This window comes from Homo sapiens, chromosome 2 (genome assembly GCF_000001405.40).
Source record: "Homo sapiens chromosome 2, GRCh38.p14 Primary Assembly".
NCBI lineage: Eukaryota > Metazoa > Chordata > Mammalia > Primates > Hominidae > Homo > Homo sapiens.
This window is the reverse complement of record NC_000002.12, coordinates 88591508-88606653: the sequence shown is the minus strand read 5'-3', so window position 1 is coordinate 88606653 and position 15146 is coordinate 88591508. Positions and strand designations below refer to the sequence as shown.

The 15146-nt window shown below is 36.6% G+C and overlaps 1 protein-coding gene across 5 annotated transcripts in view, besides 1 other annotated feature; it reads left to right on the top strand.

The window, feature by feature from the left end:
- Positions 1-15146, top strand: part of EIF2AK3 (eukaryotic translation initiation factor 2 alpha kinase 3) — a 71405-nt gene that overhangs the window by 21492 nt on the left and 34767 nt on the right. For 4 of the 5 annotated variants that reach the window (XM_047446428.1, NM_004836.7, NM_001313915.2 and 1 more), the window contains exons 3-4: positions 10991-11185; positions 13249-13382. In XM_047446428.1, coding sequence (XP_047302384.1) covers positions 10991-11185; positions 13249-13382 — 329 coding nt within the window. Of the gene's footprint in view, positions 1-10990; positions 11186-12595; positions 12742-13248; positions 13383-15146 lie in introns of those variants that run through there. The other variant, XM_047446429.1, reaches the window with a different exon arrangement.
- Positions 5770-6969: an enhancer, noted in NCBI's record as "P300/CBP strongly-dependent group 1 enhancer chr2:88899203-88900402 (GRCh37/hg19 assembly coordinates)". NCBI's record gives its function as "activates an origin of replication core promoter dependent on BRD2, BRD4, P300/CBP, MED14 and CDK7 cofactors, with strong dependence on P300/CBP, by STARR-seq in HCT116 cells {active_cell/tissue: HCT116}" and the evidence as "EXISTENCE:reporter gene assay evidence [ECO:0000049][PMID:35650434]".

Genomic DNA, 15146 nt, shown 5'->3' with positions numbered 1-15146 from the left:
TAATCTCTTTTAAAGCTTCTCTTACTTTTACTGAAAGCTGTCCAAGTTGTTTTGCAGTTTTTCATTTGCACGCAAACTAGCACATTTTGAGTCTGTGTCATCTAAGATGGCAGTTTATTTTGAAGCATAGCTGTCAATCATGTAGCAAGCCAATATTTAAATAATTGCCTGGGTTAATTGCTTTTCTTTTAATTATAGAAATGAAACAGTGCTTTAATTTAATTTTGTTATATTAATCCCTTAGCATGGCTGAAAGCAGTGCTGTGAACTAAGCTAATTTATCCCAGCATTGCATGTCACCAAAGGAGAAACTGATTTGGCCCTGTTTTTTTTATTTTTTATTTTATTTTTTTAGGAAATTGACTCTTCATGTACATTGTTTATGTCATGAATATATATTAATCTAGGTGAAGGCAGAGATAGTTATTAAAATCAGTGTTCTTTTATCATGACTGTGAGAAGTATGCTTAAAAAGCTAGTCTGGTAGTTTCCCTTGAGGCATTTTGTTTTGTAGGTTGATTAAATTAGTGAAAAAAAGAATTAAACAATTGTTATCAACTTGATATTTCTCTGCTCTTGAGTACTAATTTACATTTTTTAAGATAAATACCAAATCATTGCAGAGGTTTTTCTCAACATTTAAGCATATAGCATATCACTTGGGATGCAATCTGACTAATACCCGGATCTGCTGAACAATCTCATTACCCCTCCCGTTAGGGCATCATCATCTAATGGTGATGCCCCTTCCCTTGTCTTTCAGGTATGATTCCTGGAGACCCTTTACTTTTATCAAACAGTCTTCCTTTTACTTTCCCCAATGTTTCCAGGGAAGTAAAAATATATATTTCCATAATACAACAATGTTGAAGCATCTTTTTTTTTTAAGTCACAAATAGTCAATTCTGATATCTAGTAGTGTAGTCAGTTGCTCATTTTGGTTAATTAAGATTTACTGTTTATGTTCCATTCAAGTGTATCATTTTTGAAGAATTAAAATATACAGACATATACTTGTTAATTTTTCTTTAGCACTGATTGTCTTTATTGATTAATAAAGTACTTTCAATCCGTTAGAGTTTTTATGTTACAATCAAAGAATTTTAGGCTTGATAGAGCTTTCTGATAAATCAAAAACTGCAGCAGTTTGATATATTCTACACTGAATTAATCTTTATTTGGTTTTGAGGCCTTGTTTTTAAACAGATGTGAATCCATGTTTGGGAAAGAAATAACTGACCTTGCATAATTAAGCTTTCTGTCTGCTCCCGCCTTTAATTTACTTGTGGAGCAGGTATTCTCTAGAATTCAAAAAGCTTTTGTTATTTTTGAAATTTTGTATTCATGAATAATAGTTCTCTCCTGAAGTTTCCAATAGAGAATAAAATAAAGCTCACAATGAATTATAGGTAGTCACATGAGCTAGACTGAGTTTATATTTTTGCTTTTAACTTTTTTCTTTCATAAGTATACATGTATATATACACATAAACACATACAAATTACCTTAGAAGTTCAAAGTAAGCAGCCCTGGATCATAAACTTTTGTTTGAGTAGCACTTTATAGTTTGTAAAGTGATATCTATTCTTAGTCATTTACATAGCCCTGTGAAGTAAATATTCTTATTAACCCTAATTTTTTGCATGATAAAATCGGGGATCAAAAAGGTTCAGAGATTTATCTGATATAGTAAAGGTGAGACTCAACCCGAGATCTTTGTACTTACATCTTTCCCTCTTTCCAACATTTAATGCTTTTTAAAATACCTTAATGCTTACCAATTTATTTGTATTTTCTCTACTAATAATTCTTCATGTGCTTTATGGAGATTAATTACTCAAAGACATCTTGCGTACAGCATACTTAGCACGTAGCTCAGCACATTTTGAGCATCTAAACTGCTTCTAGGACAACCCTAGTGGGATAGTCACAGGCACCAAAACTTAACACATCCAAAACTGAATTCAGCATTGCGGGATTGCAGGAGGGAGGCGTGCAGAATTGTGCACTGCCCAGGACAGATGTGATTCTTGCCTTTCTAGAACTTATAAGGTACTGTGTGGAGCCAGCTAGGGAGGCAAATATGAAATAATTATAGTACAAATAATGCAATTGAGTGTGGTAACTGGCACAAGGCAGGATAGAGCACAAAGAAAGACTCTAACAAGCATAAGTGCTTACCTAGCCTGATGGTCAAAGAAGGCCTCTCTTGTATGATCAGGAGTTACTGAGGCAAGAGATGGATAGAGAGGAGGGGGAGGATTATGCTGGGAGAGGAAATAGCCTATCTCAAGGCCTTAAGGCGAGAGTTATCATGGCATGTTTGGGGAACTGAGAGAAGTTGAGGATGGCAACAGGAATGAGGGTTGGGAGAGAGCAGCCGAAATGAGCCCATTGAGGTGGGCCAGGATCAGGTTATGCAGGGTCTAGTAAGCTATGTTAGACATTCCAGATTTTATCCTGAGCCATGAGAAACCATTGAAGGTTTAAGTGGAAGAGATCACTCTGACTGTAGAAAATGGACTGAAACAACAGCAGAAATTGGGAGACTATTTCTAGTCTCCCACACTAGTTAAGAGACTGCATGGTAGTCATCCAGATGGGGATGATAGACTGGATGGAGACAGTGGAAATGAGTGAAGTAAAGTGACAGATTCAAAAGATGTTTAACGAGGAAGATAAAATTACAAGACCAAAGGAGGATTTAGTAGTAAATTAAGAACAGGTATAGAAAGGAAGAACATGTGTTGTTTAGATATGAGTTGGGAGAGACCATGAGAGCTCTCCAAGCAGAGATGCTAAAGAAGGCATTTGACTTTATGGGTCTTGTGCTGACAGAGGAAAAGTCTGGGCTGAAGTTAAAATTAGAATTGCTTGTGTCATGGGAACTGAGAAGATCAATCACCTTGAAAGAAAGTAGGGTGAGAAGACCTATGACCAAAGCTTTGAAGTCCAACATTTTAAAATTGAGAGAGACTGATAAGTTAGAGAAAATTGAGAGAAAAAGTGTTTCAATGATAGATTTGTTTTAGTAGGATTTTAGGGATTATCCTGCTTTCCTTCAGATTTTTGCATCTGCTACTTGGTGTGAAGACTTTATGAATATGTATAAATATAAATACTTCCATAATTAGAGATAACTGATTTATAATGCAAATGCCTCTTCAAACAACTCCTTGATTTGTTAGTCTTATTGAAAGTTTTGCAGCAAAACAGAACATCAGAAAACCCTTTCCACTGTCAACTGGGGAACTTGGAAAGCAGTGGGAAAAAGCAGGAAGCCTGTGGATGCCCAAAGTGATAAAAGCATTAGTCAGTGGTTGAAGACCAAAAAGGAATCCCTTTTAAGTTAGTTGTGGAGAGCGATTTTGAGAATCAAGTGAAATAAGGAAACGTGAGACATTTTGTAAAACAGTGAAGTGTTCGTTTTTATCCGAGGTCACATAGTAAATGAGTAGTAGAGTCAGGGACCCAGGGGATGGGGCTGGATGAGGTGCAGTCAGCTGGTCTGGTTGGTATGGATACATCTTGATTTTATGTTTTGGATGTGTGCTGTTGCCCCATCACCTTGGTTTGCAAAACAACTAGTATGGCTAGGAAAGTAATTGTTCTAGGCAAAGGAGACTTCCAGATAATAAAAAAGTCAACAATTTAGCATTTTTAATGGCATATTTTTATTTTTCTTTTTTTTTTACTTTAAGTTCCAGGATATAGCAGAATGTGCAGGTTTGTTACATAGGTATACATGTGTCATGGTGGTTTGCTTTACCTATGAACCCATCATCTAGGTTTTAAACCCCACATACATTAGGTGTTTGTCCTAATGCTCTTCCTCCCCTTGCTCCCCACCCCCGTCAGGCCCCAGTATGTGTTGTTCCCCTCCCTGTGTCCATGTGATCTCATTGTTCAACTCTCACTTACAAGTGAGAACATTAATGGTGTATTCATGTATTTCACATCTTCCCAATCTTAATGAGTTGTATCTTTTTATTTGTAAGTTGTAAGAATTATTTATTTGTAAATATTGTAAGAATGTTATTGTATTATCCTAGAAATGCTCTCTGGGGTTCTTAGGTGGGACAGGGATGTGTGCCCCTTTAATAAATATTCTAGGATAATTGGTGTTTTACACTCTCTTTCTTCATGGCCTATGTTCATTCTTCCTTATCTCTACATTCAGTGAGTCTGCATCTTGCCACACTCTTTTTCTTACCCCCTCTTCTCCTTTTTAAACCTTGTTGCTTCTTAGCTTATACACAGAACTTGGCTTTTGTTAACTATCAGGGCCAGTGTGTTCCTGGTTAGGGAACACACTGGTCTCACCAAGTCTCCTGAACCCTTTTCAATTTTCAGTTTTATAGTGGGTGAGTTACTTCTGGATACAATTTTTGGGATTTGAGAGTGTTTAATGCCTGAGTCACTAATCAAGAAAATGCTAGTGTATGCAAATCTGGCTTCCAAAACCGAATGAGGAAAAGTTCTTTATAGAAAAATCCTAACTAGGCCGGGAGTAGTGGCTCACGCCTGTAATCCCAGCACTTTGAAAGGCTGAGGCAGGCAGATCACGAGGTCAGGAGACTGAGACCACCCTGGCTAACATGGTGAAACCCTGTCTCTACTAAAAATACAAAAAATTAGCCAGGCATGGTGGTAGGCGCCTGTAGTCCCACCTACTCGGGAGGCTGAGGCAGGAGAATCACTTGAACCTGGGAGGTGGAGGTTGCAGTGAGCCGAGATTGCGCCACTACACTCCAGCCTGGGTGACAGAGCAAGACCCCATCTCAAAAAAAGAAAAGCAAAAAAAAAAAAAAAAAAAAAGAAAAATCTTAACTAATAAATGCAGAAAGAATGACAAAATTAGAAATTGCTATTCTAGTTCTTTTATTGAAATAGTAGGCCATCAAGCAATACTAAAATGGTAAAAAGTTGATGGGACACTTTAAATGGAGGGATCAGGCTGACTCCCCCAAACTCAAGTGATTGATAGTAACATCATTAAAAGTGGGGCATGCAAACACTATGTGCCTCCTAATATGGTATAGCATAGGGGCCAGCAAACTTTTCCTGTAAAGGGCCAGATGGTGCTTATCTTAGGCTTTGAGGATCATGTGGCCTTTAGTTGCAGCTGGAAAGCAGTCATAGACAGATACATAAATGAATGAATGTGTGGCTGTGTTCCAATAAAACTTTTCTTACAAAACAGGCATTAGGCTGGATTTGGCTCATGGGCTGTAGTTTGTAGACCCCTAATGTAATAGGAAGTGCGTAGCACCAGATACGAAGGCTTCTTGTCAAAACAACTGAACCTGCATCAGATCAAAGCTCCAAGTCTAATCATACTTTTCAGGAAATATAGGAAATAAAGGAACAAGTTAAATGACATGTAGAATCCTGACTGTGGGACATTCTATAGGACAGATAATCTGGTTTCTCAAGTAAATCAGTGCATAACAAAGGGGTTGAAAGAAGTTCCTTTGTGGAGGGAAAAGAATCAGATGTAATATGTAGACTTGGAATTCCTCATCATAAAGTAGATCTTTGAGATAATAGGAGAAATTTTAAAATTTGATGATTTTACTCCAGTAAACAAGTATATAGTAGGTGAGTGGAGATAGATGAAACAGTTGGCAAAATGTTGATAATTGTTGGAACTGGATGATAGATACATGGGGATTTATTAATCTCCACATTCTATATGCTTGAAATTTTTTATAACCAGTTAAAATAAAGTTGAATGTACTCCAAAAAGTGTGTGAGTCAGTTGGGGAGAGGGGTTGGCTGCATAGAAAAATAGGGAAGAATCAAATGGAAAACATTTTTTCTTATGGTTAGAGGAATTTTTGTTTTTTAATGCTGGTAGTGCTCATTTTAGTAGTAGTACTTCCTTTATTTTCTCATATGAAATTCCTTCCTCCACTTTAAAATTAAAGTTATTTTCACATTTTAATTTCAGATAGAAGTCCCTGATTGCAAGTGCCACTGGTATTCATTGTACCACTTAGGTTTTGTTAAGAAACAGAAACGGAATTACTTTACTAAACTGCTTTATGATTACACAGATAGACTCTGGGAGTTTGCTAGCACCTTTTATTTTAAATTATGAACAGGGAAAAAACAATAAAGAAAATAAATACAAAAATTTAGACTTTTTAAAATGACTTAAGGGAGAAGCAAGTCACACAATAAGTTTGAGATGCAGAGCAGCGAATCAGAACAAATAGCTGCTTACATGAACAAATCAGTGGGATGTGAAAATGCATCACCGTAACCTACATTTTTTTCTACCAAGAGATTTGCAGCTGACTATCGGGTGACTCATTCCTATGCTTAGGGGGTGAGGTAATGCTATTGTGAAGGGTGATGTCATCTCTGTACCTGAACTGCATGCATATATTGCTTCTGTGGCTCTCAAGGAAAAGCTCCATCTGCTTTCACATATGCAGCCTGAAAGACTTGACAAGATTGGCACAAAGGTCAGCAGCCATGTGTATGACTCATAAGCAACCAATTAGCGAAGAGCAGCTATTTAAAAGTGAACTTTTAAAATCACAATCCAGAAATATGACATGATGATTCATTATTGAATCATAATGCCTTGTTGTTGTTTTGTGTTTTGCACTTACTGAGTTAATGCTGTTGAGCATTTAACTTTTAAAATAAGGAAGTTTTCTCAGTATGGTCAATGATATCAAATCTTGAATCTTTAAACTATATTTTTAATTGAAGATAAGGTTGGTTGGTCAGTCTGTTGGTTGATTGGCTGGTTTTACTTTTGGAGTTGCAGAGACCATCCTTAGGGCAAAAATGGATTCTATTTCATATTAGTTTGGCAGTTGATTTTTGCACTTAGGAGACATTGTATTCCCTAAGGACCCGCTACTGCTTTAGAGGAAAAGAGGTTTTTAATGGAAGAGGAAATAAGTCAAAATAAACGCTATCTGTTTACTGCAGACACACTTAACTCCTCTTCCTCTTTTAGTCATGCACACCTGCTTTCTCTGTTTATACTTTAACCTAATACTACTGTTGAGATGACCAATTAAAATATCTATTTTTAACTTTATTATTTGAATCTAGTGTTCTGGTAAATAAAATATAGAATATTTAACATAATATGGAGGTAGATAATGGTAAATACTTGATTTTCTATCTGATATGTAACTCAAAATAGAAGATCATATCGGCTAAATACTACTTATTGTTATTATAGGGTATGTGCATACTCTGACCTAAATTTGTTCTAATGGCAACTTCAAGTTGGACATTCTACAAAAGATAAAAATAAAGGTTTTAATTTTTGAGAATAAAATTTGTTATCTATTATCAGGAAATAGAAGGAAACAAAGAATAAAATAGTTATGCTAAGACTCTAAGGTAATATTAGGTAAGGTATATACCAGTGTCACTTGAGAACTTACTGAAAATCAAATGTTTTTTCAGTAATGAGTAATAGGAACCCTTAAATGTCTAGAATTATGGTAAACCTTCATTTAATGGTATGGTCTTGAGTTTGATTATAGAGCTCCTGCAAGACTCTTGAGTACCTTTCTTTTGTTTTTAAACTCTTGTTTGGAAATAATTTCAAACTACAGACAGTTGTACAATAAACGTGGTACCAAAAAAGAAAAAAAAAAACCTTATGTGCTCAGACTTTACCTACCCCAACCTGGTTGCCTGCTTTATATGCTTGCCCGTGTCCTCTTGCCCACTCTCACTCTTCTCCCCCATTCCCTCATACACACTTGTTTTTCTTGAAATATTTGAGGATAAGTTAAATATGCATCATGGCCCTTTACTCTTAAATACATCAGTGTATATTTCCTAATAGAGATATTCTCTTACATAACTACAAAAGTTATAAGCATTATCAATTTATATTAATACAATGCCTTACCATCCATATGCAAGTTTTGTCAGTTGACCTAATAATATCCTTTATAGCATCCTCTATGCCTAGTACAGCATCTAGTCTAGGGTCAGATATTGCATTTATTTGTCACATTAGCCTCTTTTAATCTAGTTTTTTTTTTCACAGCCCTTTCTTTATCTGACATTGACATTTTTGAAGAATATGGTTTCTCTGTTATTTTTAAAATGGAATTTTCCTTACTTTGTGCTTGCCTGATGTTTCTTTGTGCTGAGATTCAGGTTGTGCATTCTTGGCTGGAATACTACATAGGTGATGCAGTCTCTCTCAGGGCATCTAACTCTCATTGATGATTTTTACTTTTGGTTATCCAATCAAGGTATTATCTCCACTATGTAATATATAACTTTTGTTTTTTAATTTCTTGTAACTAATAAGTACTCTGTAAGGAGACACCCTAGAACATGTAGATATTCTGTTCTTCATCAAAGTTTCCACCTCAGTTTAGCACCATTGCTGACTCTGGTATGACCCAGTCTTTACTGTGATGGTGGCAAAATGCTAATTTTTCCAACTCCAGCCCTTCCTTTTCCCTCATATATTATTTATTTTATCTGTTTGCTATTGGTATGAACATGTGAATTCCTATTTTTAAAAATTCAGTACTTAATTATTTTGGTGCTTAATTGTCCCAGATTTGGCCAGTGGCCCTCACCCTTTTCAAGCACATCCTTGTTTTTTGAAAGAATAAGATGGTAAAGGCTCATCTCACATCTACACTGCCCCAGCCCTGGAATCTGCCATTTCTCTGAGGAGCCCTGGTTCCTTTTGGTGGAGAATGAAATTAGATAACAAAATTTGGGCACCGGGTATGAGTGCACTACTTTTACAGCCACTGTATAAACATAAATATAAACATTAGCTGACCTGGTAAGTATTTCTTGGAGGTACAGTGAACAATTTTTGAGGATATCACGGTGTCTCGGATTATAGTGACAACAAAAAGGAAAGTTAAGGAATGGGAAGATTTTTGTCACTAAACTTACATTGCCAAAATTTTCTTAGATTTCAAAGCAAAAAAATACATGATGCTAGGTTGAAGGCTAGATAGGATTTCTGTGGACAAAGTTGGTACAGAAGGATGTTCCAGAAAGAAGAAATGACATTGACAATGACATAACTGAACAATATCAGTAACTTTAAATGTTGTGTTTAAATAACCATGCCTGATTTCCACCCATTGGGGGAGAACTAAAAGACAGGGATGAAAGGTTTATTTAAGGTCAGTTTTAGAGGACTTTGAATGTCCTCTAAAGGATTTTGGATCTTTAGGATTTGGGGTCTTTAGTAAGAAGATAATAGCTGTTGAAGATTTTTGAATAGTGTCATAACAAGCTTAACTCTGACTGAAAGAGATTAATCTGGAAGATACATAGAAGATTAAGGAAATTTCCAGTTAAGAACTGTAAAGAGGCTATTATAGTAGTTAAGGCAGGATTTGAACTGGATTTGAACTGGAAAATAATAAGGATTTGAACTGGAAAATGAAAGAAAGAAGTGAATTAGAATAGTGGTTTTTAATCTGTCTTCCAAAACCCCAGGTTTGGGGCAAAGTAGATGTGTGAGTTGAACACCAAATGAGAACTCTCAGTTACTGTATGCGAGTTTTCAAGTAAGTATCCCTTTAAAGAAAGCAATCTGCTGCTTAAAGAACAAAAAACTATGTAGAAAAATTTTGTTAACTCTTACTTCTCTCGTATTCCTGTTTCCTAAAGTTTTGAGCCTGGATAATCAGGAAAATAATTGTGTCATTAATTGATGTAGGTCAAATTATGCGTTTTTTAAATGCCAAAGGTCAATGTCACAAAGACATGTACTAAAACTCTTACTGAAGAAATAAGATATTCTTGGCCAGAAGTCTTGGAATTATCCTGGACTCCTTTCTTTTGCTCATGCCATAAAGAGAATCCACCATGAAATCCTATTGGCTTTACCTTTCAATTATATCCCAAACCTGACTACCTTAAACAGCTCTACTGCTTATCAACTAACCTCTTACCTTCTGCCTGCTCTCTCTGCCTCCACTCTTGCCTCTCAGCCTGTTCACTTTCCTTGTGGTTTTTCAAACATGATGGGTATGCTTCCATCTAAGAGCCTTTGCAAAGCCTGGCCTGGCGTGGTTAACTCTCTCACGTTAAGACTTTGCCCAAACGTTACTTTCTCAGTGGGGTCTACCCTAAGCTCTTTATTGATAATCCCCTCTCCACCCCATGCGTATTTACCATTCTCCCTTTATCTTGTTCCATTTTTTTAACGGCATTTATCACCTAACATACCATATAATTTACTTATTTATTAAGTTGTTTGTCTCGTGACACCAGAGTTTAACCTTCACAAAGGCAGTGATTTGTTTGCTTTGCTCGCTAATCTATCCCAACCATCAGAATGTGCCAGGCCATAGGTAAGCCCTTAATAAGCATTGTTAAAAGAAGGGAGGGCAACCGAGAACACAAAACCAGTAAGCTTACTTACTAGGCTTCTATCTCATTGCAGATTTGAGAAAGCAAATGAAAGAAGGGATGGGACACTACTTGAATCAGTATCTCTAAACCTGTGTTCCTTGGAGCTGAGTCTATGACAGTAATTGGCCTTGATAAAAATAGCCCTAGAAAATACTGCATATATTATCTATTTACACATTAAATATTCATATTACACATATTACACATAATCATGTTACACATTAACATACTAATTGCTATAAGAGCTCCTATAGTAACCTCTTCTTGAACTCACTTGATCATAAAACTCTCTTTTGGTAACTCACCTACCATTATGGGACCCTTTTGGCCCATGGTAAACTGAGTTTGAGAAAAATCTTACTAGAGTACTATGTGTAGGGCCTGGGAGTGATTGGCAGTTCTTTTAAATTACTTTTGGTTGATGGACTGCACTGCTTCATGTGCTACTCAGAAGGAGGCTGGAGTACATCAGGATCAAGACTCCAGCTCTTAATTACTATTATTCTTTTAAAGGTATGATGCTTCTATTTTTCTGGGAGAAATAAGAAAAAAATAATAATTAATGTTATGGCCCTTTTAAAAAGTTAGCTTCTGTTTTAGGTATTTGGGAATAAGATGATCATTCCTTCCCTGGATGGAGCCCTCTTCCAGTGGGACCAAGACCGTGAAAGCATGGAAACAGTTCCTTTCACAGTTGAATCACTTCTTGAATCTTCTTATAAATTTGGAGATGATGTTGTTTTGGTTGGAGGAAAATCTCTGACTACATATGGACTCAGTGCATATAGTGGAAAGGTAAGTGAAAATGCTGAATTTACTTTGGGGAAATCAGAGTAAATTAGGGTAGAAAAAGTAATTTATTAAACTACACTTATTATTAGTTGAGTTTTATTGTAATTTTCCCCTGAGGTTGTCATTTGTTTTAATAAGAGAACTGTGAGGTAGGAAGGGGAAACTAATAACAGAATAAATGGCAGAGCCAGGAATAGCAGGAGGAAGAGAATTCATAAATATGGTCTACTGTGTCTCAGGTGTTTTTTTTTTTTTTTTTTTTTTTGAGACAGAGTCTCACTCTGTTGCCCAGGCTGATCTCAGCTCATGGCAATCCCCACCCCCACCCCATTCCACACCCCCTCAGGTTCAAGTGGGTTCAAGCGATTCTTGTGCCTCAGCCTCCTGAGTAGCTAGGATTACAGGCACATGCCACCATGCTTGGCTAATTTTTGTATTCTTAGTAGAGACAGGGTTTTACTGTATTGCCAGGCTGGTCTCCAGCTTCTGGCCTTAAGGGATCTGCCCACTTCAGCCTCCCAAAGTGCTGGGATTATAAGCAGGAGCCACCATGCCCAGCCTCAGGTTCTTTTTTTTATACATTATTTTGCAATCTTCACAGTCTTCCTAAGTGTAACTTTCGTTTTTTTTTTTTTTTTTTTACATTTTGACAGATGAAGAACCTTATAAAGATTAATAGTAATCCTAATGATAAGAATAATTGATACTACTCATTTATAGGGTTTGATCCTATAATAAGGTGATCCAAGAGGAAAGTTTATACTCATTTTACAGATGAAGAAACTGAGACTTTAAAAGGTTCAGAAACTTCCAGGGTCACATTTAACTTAGATCTATCTGACAACAAAGTCATGCTGTTAATAATCTAGACTTTCTCCAACATTAGCTCTTAGGATATAATCATAATATAATCTGCTTCTAAGATTGGGTCTTATAAATCCATTATCAAGAGTAGCTAATTAAAAGCATCCTTTCAACCAGGCAAGGTGGCTCACACTTGTAATCCTACCACTTTGGGAGGCCAAGGTGGGTGGATCACTTGAGGCCAGGAGTTCGAGACCAGCCTGGCCAACATGGTGAAACCCCATCTCTGCTAAAAATAAAAAAATTAGCTGGGGATGGTGGCGCACGCACGCCTGTAGTCCCAGCTAGTCAGGAGGCTGAGGTACGAGAATCACTTGAACCTGGGAGGTGGAGGTTGCAGTGAGCTGAGATCACACCATTGTGACGTGTAAACGGTTTATATACAGACTTGGACTAAAATAAGGAAGAATAGAAACGTGGTCTTTTTACTCTTGCATTTTTCAACTTTAACAATTCCTTATCTAAGTGTTAGGCCCATAGCACTTTCTTGCTCTTGCAGATGCTTTTCTGCCTTCTCCACCCACCTGCATCTGCATTGTGTTGAGGAGGCCATGCCATCCTATCTGGCCGTTTTTTGAGCAAAGCACTTCAATCTCTGTTTACTTCGGTAGTCTCATCTGTAAACAACAGGATTGAACCCGATCACCTGGTTTTCCGATTTGATGTGCTGCTACATAATTCTGGTATTGTAGAAGGTATGCTTTTCGTGAGGATTTTAGTTTGGATCATATTAACTCTTCCTTTTTTCTTTAGTGAAAATTTGAGGCAGTTACTTTTGAATACAAAAAGCTCTCAGAAAAGTTTCAAATTTTTAAAAACCAAACACTTTTGTTATACAGAAACTCTAAGGTTGATTTTTTTTTTAACTCACCTGAAATTTTATTAATGATATTGTAGAAAAGCTATCACAAGTAGCTATCCATTTCTTCTTGTATATTCTATGGAAATCTCCAAAGTAAGGCTAAAATTATGTAAATCCTTAAAATCATTCCCTGAAATAAATATTCATTGGTACTGTCATTGTTCTAAATAACTCATTTTAGGAGTTGGTAATCTAACTGATGCTTCTTATGACTTGAGTACTTCATACACATTTCCTTAGTTTCCTTTCACTTTTTAAAAATTACAGATTCCTTTAATATCTCTGATCTATTATGAGTTGTCTCCTTTTACTAATTTTGTATCTAATTTTGTCTTTTCAGGTGAGGTATATCTGTTCAGCTCTGGGTTGTCGCCAATGGGATAGTGACGAAATGGAACAAGAGGAAGACATCCTGCTTCTACAGCGTACCCAAAAAACTGTTAGAGCTGTCGGACCTCGCAGTGGCAATGAGAAGTGTGTATTCAGATAATGTTGCTGTTGGTATTATTTAGAAATACACCTAATACCAAAATTTATCAGATTTCTGTTTGTGGAGATTTTGACTATTTTGTTGCCTTAAAAGCATATATATATATATTTTTTTGATACGGAGTCTTGCTCTGTCGCCCAGGCTTGAGTACAGTGGCGTGATATTGGCTCACTGCAACCTCCACCTCCTGGGTTCAAGCGAATCTCCTGCCTCTGCCTCCCGAGTACCGGGGATTACAGGCACGTGCCACCACACCCAACTAATTTTTGTATTTTTAGTAGAGACGGGGTTTCACCATGTTGGCCAGGCTGGTGTCCAACTCCCGACGTCAGGTGATCCAATGTGGGTCCTAAAATAAAAATGGTTTCATGGTTATTAACAAATTCTGAACTGAACTTCTCACCATATGCTTCGGGATATGATAACCACAGGGGTTCTCATATGATAACTATTAGTTTAGTCTCAGGTTAATGATTTTTTTTTTTTTTTTTTGAGACCGAGTTTCACTCTTGTTGCCCAGGCTGGAGTGCAATGGCATGATCTTAGCTCACCACAACAGCTGCCTCCCGGGTTCAAGCAATTCTCCTGCCTCAGCCTCCTGAGTAGCTGGGATGACAGGCATGCGCCACCATGCCCGGCTAATTTTGTATTTTTAGTAGAGATGGGGTTTCTCCACGTTGGTTAGGCTAGTCTCAAACTCCCAACCTCAGGTGATCCACCCACCTCAGACTCCCAAAGTGCTAGGATTACAGGCATGAGCCACGGTGCCTGGCCTAATGATATTTTTTATAGCAATCTCATCATTCAAAGTTCTTTGAATACAGAAAGATGTTAAGACAAAATTGATGTGTTTCTTTGAGCTTGAACTTATTTGACTCTCTAATTATGTCTAGTAGGTAGTTTCATAGTTTGATTATCTCAATTTTAAAATAATAATCATCTTATTCAATTTTCTTGAAGTATTAAAACATTTATTTAGCCTAATACCTTTCTGTTTCCTTCTTTAAATAATGAACCCCTTATGTAATTTTTATATTTAAATATGTGATTAAAAAATGTGATACCTAGATTAGATACGCTGATTCTACATCAAATGCTTGATTTTTTTTAAACCTAATATTTAAGTTTTAAATTGCCTTTGTAGTAAAAATAACTTTAGATTCCATCTTTATCTTTTGAAAATGAACCAGACTTTCGGGTTTTGTCTGATCCGATGCAGTGTAATTCAGTTTCCTTTCCTGAAAACTGTTTTCTCAAACTCAGTTAAGAATGCATTTATTCTTTCTACTTTGGACTATGAATAGGGCTTTGCATTTACAGACAACTTGACCTTCTTTATCCTGACTGGATTTTGTTTTTTTAAGTGTTTGAGTGCTTACTGGGAGCTCAGCCACCATAGCAGCAGATGTCCAACTTAACAGATTTTTGAGTTACCAGAATAGGAAGGATCTGGGTTTCTAAGATCCATGATTCTTTAAAATATAATTATTTCCATAAATGTCAGAATTCTTAACTATGCCATTTTATATCTAAGTGAAAAGACACAATACTCTCAGTAGTTGAGTGATTTTTCTATTTACTAATTATAGAGGAAACATTATTACTGCCACTTTAGGATAAGACTGCTGAAACTTACTTAGGAAAGGGTAAATGACTTGCCACATCTTGTTCAGTGGAGATCCAAGATTGGGGCTGAGGTATCCTGGATCACATTGCCTTTTTGAGGCCATGTTTTAGTATGAATTTAA